Consider the following 15581-nt stretch of genomic DNA (forward strand, 5'->3'; position numbering starts at 1 on the left):
GCCTGCATTTGCTGTTGAGCCATTTTCTCTCTCTCTCTCTCTCTCTCTCTCTCTCTCTCACTCTCTCTCTCTTTTTTTTTTTTTTTTTTTTTTTTTGAGATGTAGTTTCCCTCTTATTGCCCAGGCTGGAGTGCAGTGGCACAATCTCAGCTCACCACAACCTCCGTTTCCCCGGTTCAAGCGATTCTCCTGCCTCAGCCTCCTGAGTAGCTGGGATTACAGGCAGGCGCCACAATGCCCGGCTAATTTTGTATTTTTAGTAGAAATGGAGTCTCTCCATGTTGATCAGGCTGGTCTCGAACTCCCCACCTCAGGTGATCCGCCCGCCTTGGCCTCCCAAAGTGCTGGGATTACAGGCGTGAGCCACTGTGCCCAGCCAAGTTGTTATTATCTAAGGACCTGAAATCAATAGAAAGGAATTGTCTGGGTTAAGATAAGGGGTTGTGGAGACCAAGATTCTGAGGTGGGAGGCAGGACTTGACTCCAGAGGTGGGGCTAGGACACTAGACCAGTTGAAGGCTAGCTAAAAACAGGTCGGGGTGCGGGGTGGGGTGGGGGGCAGAAGCACCTTCTCATAAGACACACCCACCAGTGTGCCAAGTCAGTTGACCATTGCCATGGCAACACCTGGAGGTTACTGCCCCTTTCCATGGCAACGACCTGACAACTGGGAAGCTATCACCCTCATTCTAGAAATTTCTGCATAACTCCTTTAATTTGCATATAATTAGAAGTGGGTATGAGTGCAGACCTGCCTCTGAGCTGCTACTCTGGGCACACTGCCTATGCGGTAACCCTGGTCTGCAAGGAGGAGGACCTCCGCTGCTGCTGGTACACTGGTGCTTCAATACCAACCTGGCCAACATGGTGAAACCTCGTCTCTACTAAAAGTACAAAAATTAGCCAGGCATGGTGTGTGCCTGTAATCCCAGCTAATCAGGAGGCTGCGGCAGGAGAATCACTTGAACCCGGGAGGCGGAGGTTGCAGTGAGCCCAGATAGTGCCATTGCACTCCAGCCTGGGTGACAAAGTGAGGCTCTGTCTCAAAAAAATAAATAAATAAAAAAGATAACATAACTCTTTCAACCAATTTCCAGTCAGAAAATCTTTCAATCCACCTATGACCTGGAAGCTGCTGCCTTGAGTTGTCCCACCTTTTCAGGCTGAATTGACGCACACCTGACACGTATTGATTGGTATCTGTGTAACTTCTGTCACCCTAAAACGTATAAAATCAAGCTGTGGCCCGAGCACCTTGGGCCCATGTTCACAGGACCTCCTGGGGCTGTGTCGTGGGCCTTGGTCACTCATTTCACTCAGAATAAACCTTTTTAACTATGTTACACTTTAGCCCTTTTTGTCGACAGCCTCCTGTCACTTTCCCTTGAGAAGACGCTGTTTTCGAGAATACTCCCAGTACCTGCCTTTCTTGTGCCAACTAAGAACACTCCTATTCATCATAACCTGCATTCTCACGGAGGGTCGCTTGTTACTCACCAGGCAAACAAACCCTGGCTTTCCAGGTAACAGTCGGCCCTCTGTATCCACAGATTCCACCTCTGCCATTATAGAGGGCTAAGTATATGTAAAACCTGTCATTTAGAGCCATGTGATTTAAAGAAAAATATCTCACTCATGGATTTGATGGGTACTGATATGCACTTGGCTATAAGCTATTGGTGTATCCACAAGCTCATTGGAACAGAAACCCAACTATTACAACAGACCCTGAAATTTTGTGAGCTCTCAAAAATTTCTGCTCAAAAAATAGATTCTCACTTTCTGCTTAATTTTTCCGTAAATCTAAAATTTCTCTTAAAATGAAGTCTATTAATTGAAAAAATATATACTCTGGAAATGGGCAATGTTGTCTTTAAGAAAAACTTGTAGTCGGTGTGTTTGTTGTTAAGCAGTTACAAAATTTAAGTTATAGCATTTCTGATTTCGATTCTTAGAAACAAAACTAGATTTGTTTTGCTTTAGAAAGAATGTAAGGAAAGCTAATTTGTGAAGTAAGTACTTCCTAAAATGAAGATGAATTCCTGTTTAGATAAACCAGGAGAGGAAGTTAAACTGAGTGAGTGTGGGAAGAAAAAAAAAAAGATTCCTTTGAGAGATGCGCCTTTTGAGCATAATTGAAAGTGACTGAGATGTACAATAACGAGGGAACCAGGCAATAATTCATTAATGGAGCAGCAGCATTACTCTAAACAAATATTTGCTTTTACATAATTAACCAAACTAAAATGATCTGAATGGAAAAGTAGTTTACAGTAACCAAAACAGCATGGTACTGGTACCAAAACAGAGATATAGATCAATGGAACAGAACAGAGCCCTCAGAAATAACGCCGCATATCTACAACTATCTGATCTTTGACAAACCTGAGAAAAACAAGCAATGGGGAAAGGATTCCCTATTTAATAAATGGTGCTGGGAAAACTGGCTAGCCATATGTAGAAAGCTGAAACTGGATCCCTTCCTTACACCTCATACAAAAATCAATTCAAGATGGATTAAAGACTTAAACGTTAGACTTAAAACCATAAAAACCCTAGAAGAAAACCTAGGCAATACCATTCAGGACATAGGCATGGGCAAGGACTTCATGTCTAAAACACCAAAAGCAATGGCAACAAAAGACAAAATTGACAAATGGGATCTAATTAAATTAAAGAGCTTCTGTACAGCAAAAGAAACTACCATCAGAGTGATGAACAGGCAACCTACAAAATGGGAGAAAATTTTCGCAACCTACTCATCTGACAAAGGGCTAATATCCAGAATCTACAATGAACTCAAACAAATTTACAAAAAAAAAACAAACAACCCCATCAAAAAGTGGGCAAAGGACATGAACAGACACTTCTCAAAAGAAGACATTTATGCAGCCAAAAAACACATGAAAAAATGCTCATCATCACTGGCCATCAGAGAAATGCAAATCAAAACCACAATGAGATACCATCTCACACCAGTTAGAATGGCAATCATTAAAAAGTCAGGAAACAACAGGTGCTGGAGAGAATGTGGAGAAATAGGAACACTTTTACACTGTTGGTGGGACTGTAAACTAGTTCAACCATTGTGGAAGTCAGTGTGGCGATTCCTCAGAGATCTAGAACTAGAAATACCATTCGACCCAGCCATCCCATTACTGGGTATATACCCAAAGGACTGTAAATCATGCTGCTATAAAGACACATGCACACGTACGTTTATTGCGGCACTATTCACAATAGCAAAGACTTGGAACCAACCCAAATGTCCAACAATGATAGACTGGATTAAGAAAATGTGGCACATATACACCATGGAATACTATGCAGCCATAAAAAATGATGAGTTCATGTCCTTTGTAGGGACATGGATGAAATTGGAAATCATCATTCTCAGTAAACTATCACAAGAACAAAAAACCAAACACCACATATTCTCGCTCATAGGTGGGAACTGAACAATGAGATCACATGGACACAGGAAGGGGAACATCACACTCTGGGGACTGTTGTGGGGTGGGGGGAGGGGGGAGGGATAGCACTGGGAGATATACCTAATGCTAGATGACGAGTTAGTGGGTGCAGCGCACCAGCATGGCACATGTATACATATGTAACTAACCTGCACAATGTGCACAGGTACCCTAAAACTTAAAGGATAATAATAAAAGAAAAAAAAAAAGAAAAGTAGTTTGGAGTATTAACTATGTACATGATTACTCTCAAGCAGATTACAGGCATAAATGGCGGTTGTATTTCACATAACTGCACATCAATAGCTTTCAAAAGAATCTCAACCCTCCACTGACCACAGTTCAGACAGATTTTCCATTTAGATGCCTGTTTGATGCCTCAAGGCCTTAGACATTGCCAGAAATGACAAATGACAGTTGTCCTGGATATTTCTAGGAACACCAGCTATTATGCTCAGAATGTTATAATAACTCTTCTATTTATTACCTACAGCTAAAAATCTAATGATGGTTATTTTATAGTGTCTCTGGAAATTGGAAAGGTAATCATGACCTCGAACTTCTACAAACAGAGTGGGGGGAGACTTAAAAGAAAAGGGCTTGAATTATATAATTAATAAATATCAATTTTTAAGCATAAAAGCCATTGGGTTTTTTATTATTTTGGTAGTGTTAGGTACATAGCTATAAGAAGGTATCCCAAGCCCGTTTTCTCCTCCCAGTCCTGTGTCCTAAAGTTTTCCTGATGTGTCAATAGAGTGTCACTATAGCCCTGTGAATTAGTAGATATCGCTCTAATGAGATATTTACGCAGGATGAAGTTGGGAGAAAGTAAAGGAATGCCTAAGCCAGAGATCTCTGCCAAGATTCACACCAGCACCTTTCAAAACTTTGCAGCCTATGAAGAGCCAAATATTGCATAATCCAGATCATGTTTTCCAATATTGTCAATGGAAAATCCTAAAGTAAGAGATTCTCAGAATCAGAGATACTACTTCAACCCAGATTCTTGTCTCAGTGCAGGTCGTAAAGACAAACAGGCTTGACTCTGACTTGGTACTTTCTTCTAAGTTCCTAAGCTATAACATAAATATGCAATACTAGAAGGTCATAATTATTCACAATAAAATGTCAATGCATTTATTTATTAATATGCTTCATTTCAGACAGAATTAACAATCTTATTCTTCTAACATATAGCACTTAGTGAGCCCAATGAATAAACTCTTGAGAGAACCTTAATCAGACTCTGACTAAATACATGTTTTGGCAGATGTCTTAGTCCATTTTCTGCTGCTATAATGGACTGTCACCAACTTGGTAATTTATAAAGAATAGCAGTGGCTGCTGGGTGCAGTGGCTCATGCCTGTAATCCCAGCACTTTGGGAGGCCGAGGTGGGTGGATCACGAGGTCAGGAGATCAAGACTATCCTGTCTAACATGGTGAAACCCCATCTCTACTAAAAGTACAAAAAATTAGCCGGGCATGGTGGCGGGTGCCTGTAGTCCCAGCTACCGGGAGGCTGAGGCAGGAGAATGGCGTGAACCCAGGAGGTGGAGCTTGCAGTGAGCCCAGATCATGCCACTGTGCTCCATCCTGGGCAACAGTGCAAGACTCCATCTCAAAATATATAAATAAATTTAATTTAATTTAAAAAGAATAGCAATTTATTTGACTCACAGTTCTGGAGGCTAGAAAGCCTAAGAACATGGTGTCAGAATCTGGCAAGGACCTTCTTGCTGCATCAACCCATGGCAGAAGGGCAAGCAAGCACACAAAACAGAGACAGAAAATGGAGACCTAACTCCCACGACAGCTAAGCCACTCCCATGATAACGTCAATCTATTCACAAGGGCCAAGCCCTCATGACCTAATTACCCTTTAAAGGTCCCATCTCTTAATACTATCATGATGGCAATTAAATTTCAATAAGGGTTTTGGAGGAGACATTCAAACCATAGCAGCAGGTATGAGCAGGTTTAAGTCAGAAGTCCATTGCTAGCTATGACTTACTGACGGGAGCCATTGAAACAGTTAAACACCTAGGAAACTACCTTCTTTTGACTCTTCAAGACATTTTGTACCAGATTATATTGGATTATACGTAGGGTGGAAGCAGGTTTTCGCATGCCCTCACTTACAGTACATATTTCCTATGTTAGGCTCTTCTGTGAAAACTTCTTGTTAATTTTTCAAATCTGATACTTACTGAGTACCTCTACATTTTTGCACTTCTCATTTCCAGTAATCCATTTTATCTCTGATTATTTCTGTTTGTCTTGGTTACTGCAGTTTTATTGTAACCTTGCAGTCTATTTGATCTTTTCACTAATATTTCCTAGTCTTTTTTACTCATTTTCTATGAATTCTAACTCATGCTTCAGCTACTTTGGTACCCCTTTAAATTCTTCAGTTTCTAATGAGCTTTCCAAAATTCCTAAGGATAGCTAAGTAATTAAACGTTGAAAAAAGTGCCTTTAATTGTTATAAACAATCACTGTTATGTCACCTATTAAATGTAAACATTTCCATAAGTACCAGTGTAGTTTTTTCTTGATCACTGGAGACTTGCCCATTTGTGAGCTAGAGTGATCACGTGAAAACCTCAACAACTAAACCATTTCCCATTTTACGATTTTGTTTTTTGTGAAATTTTTTTAAATTATTAGATTATAAACTATATCAGACATACCAAAAAGTATAAGCATTTTATATGAAGAAATTTCATAAGAGTAGTCTCTTGTTACTCTTTTTATCATCTTACACTGAATGACCTTCTTATTTTTTCTATTTAAAAGGTTTGGGAGCCAAATGCTTTTGTGGGGGTATTAAATAAAATGTATCGGAGGCCATTGGTTTTGACTGAGCTCCTATACTAAGTCCAACAGACCAAACCAAAATGGAGTCACTCATGCTACAGGCCCACATCATCAAGACAAAACTAAGTTGTTTATCTGACCTTCCAAGAAATCAGGAGAGTGAGACATAATAGCCAAATCCCCAAACAACCCAATTTTAGCTGGTATAATAAGGAAGTCCACTCTGCTTTAATCTTTACGAGGAAAGTAACTCTGAAACAACCAGTCTACCTTTTATTTTCTATTTCTGCTTTCCTCAGCCATTTTCTGCCTACCACCACCTCTGCTCAGCAACTCAGAGCACTCATTCTATTTTGTAGGATGAGGTGTTACCTTACTCTAGAATGGCAAATAAAAACCAATTAAGGTCTCTAAATTTGTTGTAATTTTGTCTTTTGTCTTTTGATGGGGGTTAGCCACTTTTGTATCCTCTGATAATATTTTATTGTATACAACTTGTACACCTGTACACCATTCTCCTTCATTTGTTTACAAATATGGCAATTTTTTCTTCATGTCAAAAGTATCTACATCCATTGTAAAAAAAAATTTAGGTAATTTGGATGAACAGAAAAGAAGAAAAATAATATAAAAACCATACAAAATTCTACCACCTTGAGATGTTTCTTTTTTGTATATTTCCTTTTGTGTAACCAGGGAGGAGGCCTACACTGCTTATTTCTCCTTATAAAGGAATTTCCACTCATATAACTCCTGTTGCTAATGCTGCCTTATTTTGTGCCACGTGGCCCCATTCCACAAGTCACACAAATCACACTGACGATGAAAACCCTACCTATATTAGTCAAGGTTTAGTCAAGAAAACAGACACCACCCTAGACTTTTCAAACCAAATAAAGAGGAACGTTAATAAGGAAATTGGTTACACAGGAAATGGAAAAGCTGAGAAGCCAAACACAGGATGAGATGATGAGGCCACTGAGAGGTCGGCAACAGCCAAAAGCAACTGCCACCCTGGAACTAAAGGGTCAACGGGATGAGGTAGTTTCATCAGAGCACAGAAGTTGAGGCCAAACAGAAAGAGCCAGAACTAAGGAGAGGGTATTTCCCCCGCAGGAGCTGGAACCACAGAGAGAGCGTTTGGTTGGGAGGAATTGGAGACACACAAGAAAAGCTGTCACGGAAAACAGAGAAATAGGGGGCAATATCCTAGGCTTTCCCCTCCTCCCACCCTCCAGTCATCTGCTATCATCTTTCTGTGGCCAAACTTACCCAAAAGACTTCAGGCAAAGGAAATGATGGGAGGTGGGGTGGGATGGGAGCAAAGCACAGGCAACTGGCCAACAATTGTCTAAGAGTAGCCCCTGAAGTGACTGGCCACACATCACCTATGGCGTAGTCTTGCTAAAAATGTTTAAGCTGAATCTAATCATGAGGAAACAATCAGGCAAATCCATATTGAAAGACATTGTACTAAACAACCAGCCTAGACTCTCCAAAATGTCAATGTCCTAAAAGACAAAAGAGGACAGAGAACTTATCTAAATTAAATAACATTAGGGAGGCTCACGCCTGTAATCCCAACACTTTGGGAGGCAGAGGCAGGAGGATCACTTGAGCCCAGGAATTCAAGACCAGCCCGGGCAACATAGTGAGACCCCATCTCTATATACAAGAAAAATCAAAAAATGAGGCGGGAGGATCACTTGAACCCAGGAGGTCAAGGCTGCAATGAGCCATGATCAAGCCACTGCATTCCTATCTGGGCAAGGGAGTGAGATCCTCCTGTCTTTCAAAAAAACAGAATATTAGGGGGACATGGCAACTAATTTTGATGTGTGATCACAGATTAAGTATTGGATCAAAAAAGAATGGTATATAAAGGACACGACGGGGCAATTGTGGAAATATGAATATAGTTAGTACACTAGATGATAGTTGTATAGAAATGTTAAATTTCTTGAGTGTGGTAATTTGGTTGTGGTTATGTAAGAGAATGCCCTTGTTCTCAGCAGATATATGCTAAAGTATTTAAAGGTAAAATGTCATGATGTCTTCAACCAACTCCATATATATATGCTTGGAGAAAGAATGTGTGATCAAACAAATGTGGCCAACGTTAAAACTGGTGAATCTAAGTGAAGCGTCTATAGGCATTCATGGTACTGTTCTTACAACTATCCCAAAGGCATTTTTTTTTTTTTCAGATGGAGTCTTACTCTGTTGCCCAGGCTAGAGTACAGTGGCACGATCTCGGCTCATTGCAACTTCTACCCGCAGGGTTCAAGCGATTCTCCTGCCTCAGCCTCCCAAGTAGCTGGGATTACAGGCACCTGACACTGCACCCGGCTAATTTTTGTATTTTTAGTAGAGACGGGGTTTCACCATGTTGGCCAGGCTGGTCTTGAACTCCTGACCTCGTGATCCACCCGCCTTGGCCTCCCAAAGTGTTGGGATTACAGGCATGAGCCACTGGGCCCAGACCCTAAGGCTTTTCAAAATAAAAACTCAGGAAAAAAAAAAAAATAGGATGGCCTCTGACCTCCGACCACTGACACGAGGTAAAGAGATGAATTAAACCAACTGTTCTTAGGAATTTAAACCTAAACAAAAAGAATTTGCTACTTAGCAATAAAGTTGGAGGTGACAGAAAAACATGTGGAGTTCGGCTATAGCAAATTAAAATTACGTACACACCAAAATTATGAGGTGGAAGAAAAGATATGGCAAATTGTTTGCAAAAATAGTTGCCACAGATGCTTCTCATCTAGTAAGCAATTCTCCCATCATGAGATGAAATCTATGTCTCCCTGCGTTCTAGACTGGTCTTGTGACTTACTTTGACCAACAGAATGCAGAGGTGACACGGTGCCAGTTCTTGACCACGAAGAGGCTTGACATCTTGCACTTTCCTTCTCTTGGAGCCCTGAGCCACTGCATAAAGAAGACCAACTGCCCAGGAAACAACAGATGCTGGAGAGGATGTGGAGAAACAGGAACACTTTTACACTGTTGGTGGGAGTGTAATTAGTTCAATCATTGTGGAAGACAATGTGGCAATTCCTTAAGGATCCAGAACCAGAAATACCATTTGACTCAGCAATCCCATTACTGGGTATATACCCCAAAGGATTATAAATCATTCTACTATAAAGACACATGCACACCTATGTCTATTGCAGCACTAGTCACAATAGTAATGACTTGGAACCAACCCAAATGTCCATCAATGATAGACTGGATAAAGAAAATGTGGCACATATACACCATGGAATAGTATGCAGCCATAAAAAAGGATGATTTCATGTCCTTTGCAGGGACATGGATGGAGCTAGAAACCATCATTCTCAGCAAAGTAACACAGGAACAGAAAACCAAACACCGCATGTTCTCACTCATAACGGGGAGCTGAACAATGAGAACACATGGACACAGGGAGGGGAACATCACACACTGGGGCCTGTTGGGGGGTGGGGGGCTAGGGGAGGGATAGCATTAGGAGAAATACCTAATGTAGGTGACCGGTTGATGGGTGCAGCAAACCACCATGGCACGTGTATACCTATGTAACAAAACTGCACGTTCTGCACATGTACCCCAGAACTTAAAGTATAATAAAAAAATAATAAGAAGAAGACCGACTGCCTGCTGGAGAGATTGGTCTGGCCAGTCTTTTGCTGTTCTAGACACCTCTGCTGAGCCACACAGGTGAGTGAAACCACCCGGACCCTCCAGCCCCAGGCAAGGCGGCCCAGCCAACACCACATGAAACAAAACCAAGCTGTTCCTGTCAATCCCTTCCCAAAGTTCAGCATTGTAAACCAACAAATAAGTAGTGGTTGGTTTTTTTGTTTGTTTGTTTCTGTTTTCTTTTTTGGAGTCTCACTCTGTCGCCCAGGCTGGAGTGCAGTGGCGCGATCTCGGCTCACTTTGCAAGCTCCGCCTCCCAGGTTCACGCCATTCTCCTGCCTCAGCCTCCCGGTAGCTGGGACTACAGGCGCCTGCCACCACGCCCGGCTAATTTTTTGTATTTTTAGTAGAGACGGGGTCTCACCGTGTTAGCCAGGATGGTCTCGATCTCCTGACCTCGTGATCCGCCCGCCTCAGCGCCTCCCAAAGTGCTGAGATTACAGGCGTGAGCCACCGCACCCGGCCGGTTGTTATTTTAAGACAATACATTTTGGGGAGATTCGTTATACAGACAATCCCCAACCCACGATGGTTCAACTTGGTGTTTTTCAACTTTAGGATGGTGCAAAAGCAATACACATTCAGCAGAAACTGTACCTCAAATACCCATACAACCATTCTGTTTTTCACTTTCAGCATAATATTCAATAAATTACATGAGATAGGCAACACTTTATTATAAAATGGGCTGTGCGTTAGATCATTTTGCCAACTTGAGGCTAATGTAAGTGTTCTGAGCACATTTAAGGTAGGCTAGGCTAAGCTACCTTAGACTAGGTTAGGTGTATTACATGCATTTTTGACTTAACGATATTTTCAACTTACAATGGGTTTATCAGGATACAGCCCCATCATAAACAGAGGAGTGTCTGTAGAGCTAATAGAGAACAGAGCAGACAGACACACAGAGATGCCTGTAGGAAATGCTAAGTTTTACTATTCCGGTTCCTTCCGTGCGTAGGCTCAAAACAACTCCTACTCTTTTTGAGATACAGCAAAAAAAGAGCCAGAGAAAAAAAATGTCTCTTCCTGGCTGCTCTGCCTATGGAGTAGCCATTCTTTTATTCCTTCACTTTCTTAATAAATTTGCTTTCACTTTAAAAAAAATAAAATGTAGGGCCGGGCGCAGTGGCTCACGCCTGTAATCTCAGCACTTTGGGAAGCCAAGGCGGGCGGATCACGAGGTCAAGAGATGGAGACCATTCTGGCCAACACGGTGAAACCCCCAGCTCTACTAAAAACACAAAAATTAGCCAGGCGTGGTGACAGGCGCCTGTAATCCCAGCTACTTGGGAGGCTGAGGCAGGAGAATTGCTTGAACCTGGGAGGCAGAGGTTGCAGTGAGCCAAGATCGCGCCATTGCACTCCAGCCTGGGTGACAGAGCAAGACTCCGTCTCAAAAAAATAAATTAAATAAATAAATTGTCCCTTCTTATCCTTTCTCTTTGCAGGTATTTTTGTTATCCAAAGATTCAGAATAAATATCTCTTATTTCTAATTGTTTCATTGACTTCCCCTTTTATTGAGTAACAGCACCTGATTTTTTTTTGAGACAGAGTCTCGCTCTGATGCCCAGGCTGGAGTGCAGTGGCGTGATCTTGCCTCACTGCAAGCTCTGCCTCCCGGGTTCAAGCAATTTTCCTGCCTCAGCCTCCTGGGTAGCTGGGGACTACAGGTGCCCACCACCAAGCCCGGCTAATTTTTTGTATTTTTAGTAGAGAGGGGGTTTCACCATGTTAGCCAGGATGGTCTCGATCTCCTGACCTCGTGATCCGCCCTCCTTGGCCTCCCAAAGTGCCGGGATTATAGGCATGAGCCACCGCGCCCGGCCAGCACCTGATTTTTTAAATGGTTTGTTGTAAAATGCATCATACAAATAGAAGGATGGATAAAATTTGCTCGACAGAAATATTTAAAAGTAATGGCAAACGCCACAATTACTTTTGCACCAACCTAATATAATAATAAGGTAAATAATCATCTACCCAGTTTAAGGTATAAAACATAACCAGTCCTTTAGAAGCCTCTGCTTATCCCTCCCAAATTGTGGTCTCTTCTCCATCCGCAGTGATAACCACGATGATGACTTATGTTAATCATTCTCCTGTTTCCTTTACAGTTTTCCACCAATATATACATCCCTAAACAACATGACTTAGTTTTGAAACACTGAGCAGCAAGCACCAATCTAGAAGAATAAGGAAAGGGTGATGTTACCACTGTTTGAGGAAGGCTCAGGAGGAGAAGATAAACTGAACAGCCTCTCGGTCATTGTCTGGCTTCAGCTTCCCTAAGCATTTATAAGAGCTTTTTATGGGAAAATCATTGAGTAAGATGATGAGTAACACTGGGAATCACTGGGCTCAGCACAGGTGAGACATACGGTAACGCTGGAGAATGGGCCGAGTTTTAGATGTTTGGCCAGGATATAGTCAGAAGGAGATGGCTGTTGTGTATATTCTGCTCATCACGACTTCTCCTCCACTTCCCAGAAGAGGTCAAGGCAGAACATTTCTGGATGACACCCACAGTAGATCAAGCATCAGAGCACTCGAGGAATGAGCAGGAACTTTATCAGCATGTGGTCAAAATAAAGAAAGTACAAAGGAAAAATCTGGGCCAGACTCTGGGTATTGAGTCCTTGATTTAAAAGTTAGCATGATGGCAGTGGGGATGGTGGTGATGGAAGCCCTCAGTGTGTCTCTCCCTGGAGTCCTGGTGTCCCACTTCTTCAGGCTGGACTTGTTTCCTTCTGCACCTAGTGCATAACTGTCATTCTGGACTCTCCCATCACCCTTACCCTAGAGTCCCTTCACCACTCTCCTGTGTTTGATTCCTACCTGTTGTGTCCCATATGTTCTTTCTTGGCTTGTCCTCTCATTCAAGAAGCACAGCCTCCAGTAGCCCCTTAAGAAAGAACGCATGGGAAGTAAATCTTGCATATCTGAAAATGCCCTTATTTTACACTCATATTTGATTGATAATTTAGCTGGGTGCAGAATTCTAGGCTGGGAATAGTTTTTCTTAAGAATTTTGAAAAGCATTGCTCTGGTGTCTCTTGCCTCTACCATTGTTTATTGAAGCCGGCAAAGCCAAAGCTGATTCCCGATCCTTTATATTTGATCTTCGTATGTACCCTCTCCCTTGCTCTCTAAGCTTTTAAGATCTCTTGGACTTTGTTCTGAAACTCCATGATAACGTGCCTTGACAGGTCTTTTTTCATCCGTTTCTCTGGGCACTTGAAGAACCCTTTCAATCTGGAAACTCATGTCCTTCTTGAGTTTTGAGTAAACTTTTCTGTATGGTTTTATTGATGACTGCCTCTCCTACATATTCTTTTTCTCTCTTGAGCACCAATTATTCAAATATTGAACACACCGGTTTTTTTTTGTTTTTTTTTTTTTTTTGAGACAGAGTCTCCCTCTGTCGCCCAGGCTAGAGTGCAGTGGCGCGATCTCGGCTCACTGCCAGCTCCGCCTCCCAGGTTCACACCATTCTCCTGCCTCAGCCTCCCGAGTAGCTGGGACCACAGGTGCCCGCCACCACGCCCAGCTAATTTTTTTTGTATTTTTAGTAGAGACAGGGTTTCACCATGTTAGCCAGGATGGTCTCGATCTCCTAACCTCGTGATCCGCCCGTCTCGGCCTTCCAAAGTGCTGGGATTACAGGCGTGAGCCACCGCACCCGGCCTGAACACGCCAGTCTTAATCTCTAATCTTCTGTATCTTTTCTCTTCTATTGTTCATCTCCGTGTCTTCTTGGGCGATTTCCTCAAGTTTATCGTCCAACTCTTCTGTTACATTTTTCAGGTCTACTCTCTTGCTTTAATTTTTAAGGGCCCTTTTTTCTTCTCTTAAAATTATCAGGATCTTATTCTGTTCTTATAACATGGGTGCAATCTATTCTGTACCTTTCCAAGTATATTAATAGTAGACTTTTAAAGTTTTTGTATGCTTGTTTATTCTATGGGGTTGTTTTGTTTTTCTTTACTTTTGTTTTGGGCTTCATAGTCAATGTCTGAAGCAGCATCTGATTCTTCTTTGAAGAACTGCTGCCTCCCATATTCTCAATCCATGTGAGTGAATGCATCATTTGCTAATTCTTTCAACTTAAATAATAAACTTGCTTTAGTTTGGATGTTTGTCTCCTTCAAATCCCATATTGAAATTTGATCCCTAATGTTGAAGGTCGGGCCCAGTGGGAGGTATGTGGGTCATGGGGGTGGGTCCCTCATCAATAAATTAGTGCCTTCGCTCAAGGGTAAGTTCTTCCTCTGTTCATTACCGGGAGAACTGATTGTTAAAAAGAGCCTGGCACCGCCTCCACACCTTGCTTCCTCTCTCGCCATGTGATCTCCACACACGCTGGCTCCCCTTCACTTTCCACCATTAGTAGAAGCAGCCTGAGGCCCTCACCTGATGCAGATGCCAGTGCCATGCTTCTTGTAAAGCCAAAGACCCATAAGCCAAATTGGCCTCTTTTCTTTAGAAATTACCCAGCCTCAGGTATTCCTTTATAGCAATGCTAAATGGACTAAGACAATAATTAACCTGCCTGAGCTTCAGTTTCTTCATCCATAAAATGAGGATGGACACAGAATCTGTTTCACTAGGATTGCCAAGAGAATTTAGTGAAATAATACAGAGGACACAGATTATGTGTTCTTTTCTGGCTTAGGAAGGTTAAATTGCTCAAAGTTACACATCAAATCATGGGACTCAGACTCATAATCTGACACATAATCAATATTCAATAAATTTCAGCTATCATTATTATGACATAGTTCAAATGGGACTCACACCTCCTCTCAGTTAAAGAGAGGAGTACATGAGCCAGACCTGGCCAATGAGATTCAGCCCTAGGATTTTTGCTAGAATGATTTGAAAGGAAATTCTCTTGTCCTGTTAGGTTATCAAGTTGGTAAAGCACAATCCCAGAGCTGCTGGTAGCTCTCTTTAACAATGCTTTTAGAGGGTCTATCTGAAAGTAAAGCCAAACCAAGAGACGGAAACAGATTACTGATGATGAGGCTGGATGCAGCCTTACCTGAAGGCACTGTGGCCCTGGACTTTCCAGTATTATGAATCAATATCTTCCTTTTCTTTCTCTTAAGCCATTTTTAGTTGAGTTTTCATTACTTGCAACAGAAAGAATCCCTTGTAATACAAAAAAATACTGTTTTGAAACTGTGTATTTCACTGAATGTAACATTATCATATGTTCATGTTATTAAAATTATTCTTCAACATTATTTTGTGTCTGGTATTTTATTTTATGAAGTCAGTATTAGTGGACAGATACATTGTTATTAATGTTTCAATATTATAAATAACACTGAAATGAATATCCTCATAGCTAAATTTTTGTGAATATCATGATTGCTTCCTGAAAATAAATTCCTAGAGGTGGAACTTCTGGATTAAAAGTTGCATGGAATATTAAGAGTTTTGTTATATATAGTAAAATTGACCCCTTGAAAGGTGGTACCAATTTGGTTTCACACCAGAAACATATAAGAATGCCTATTTTCTCCATCCATTGCCTATAGTTGGTAGTATTTCTCTTAAAATCTCTGCCAAGTTAGTAACCTCTGCAC

General features: G+C 41.6%; 1 long non-coding RNA gene across 1 annotated transcript; it reads left to right on the forward strand.

The window, feature by feature from the left end:
* Positions 1–77: 77 nt before the first annotated feature.
* LOC124903906 (uncharacterized) lies at positions 78–15236 on the forward strand. The gene is made up of 2 exons (XR_007065595.1): positions 78–10003; positions 12105–15236. It is a non-coding gene; the product is annotated as an uncharacterized LOC124903906 (long non-coding RNA).
* The last annotated feature ends 345 nt before the right edge of the window (positions 15237–15581 follow it).

This window comes from Homo sapiens, chromosome 17 (assembly GCF_000001405.40).
Source record: "Homo sapiens chromosome 17, GRCh38.p14 Primary Assembly".
NCBI lineage: Eukaryota > Metazoa > Chordata > Mammalia > Primates > Hominidae > Homo > Homo sapiens.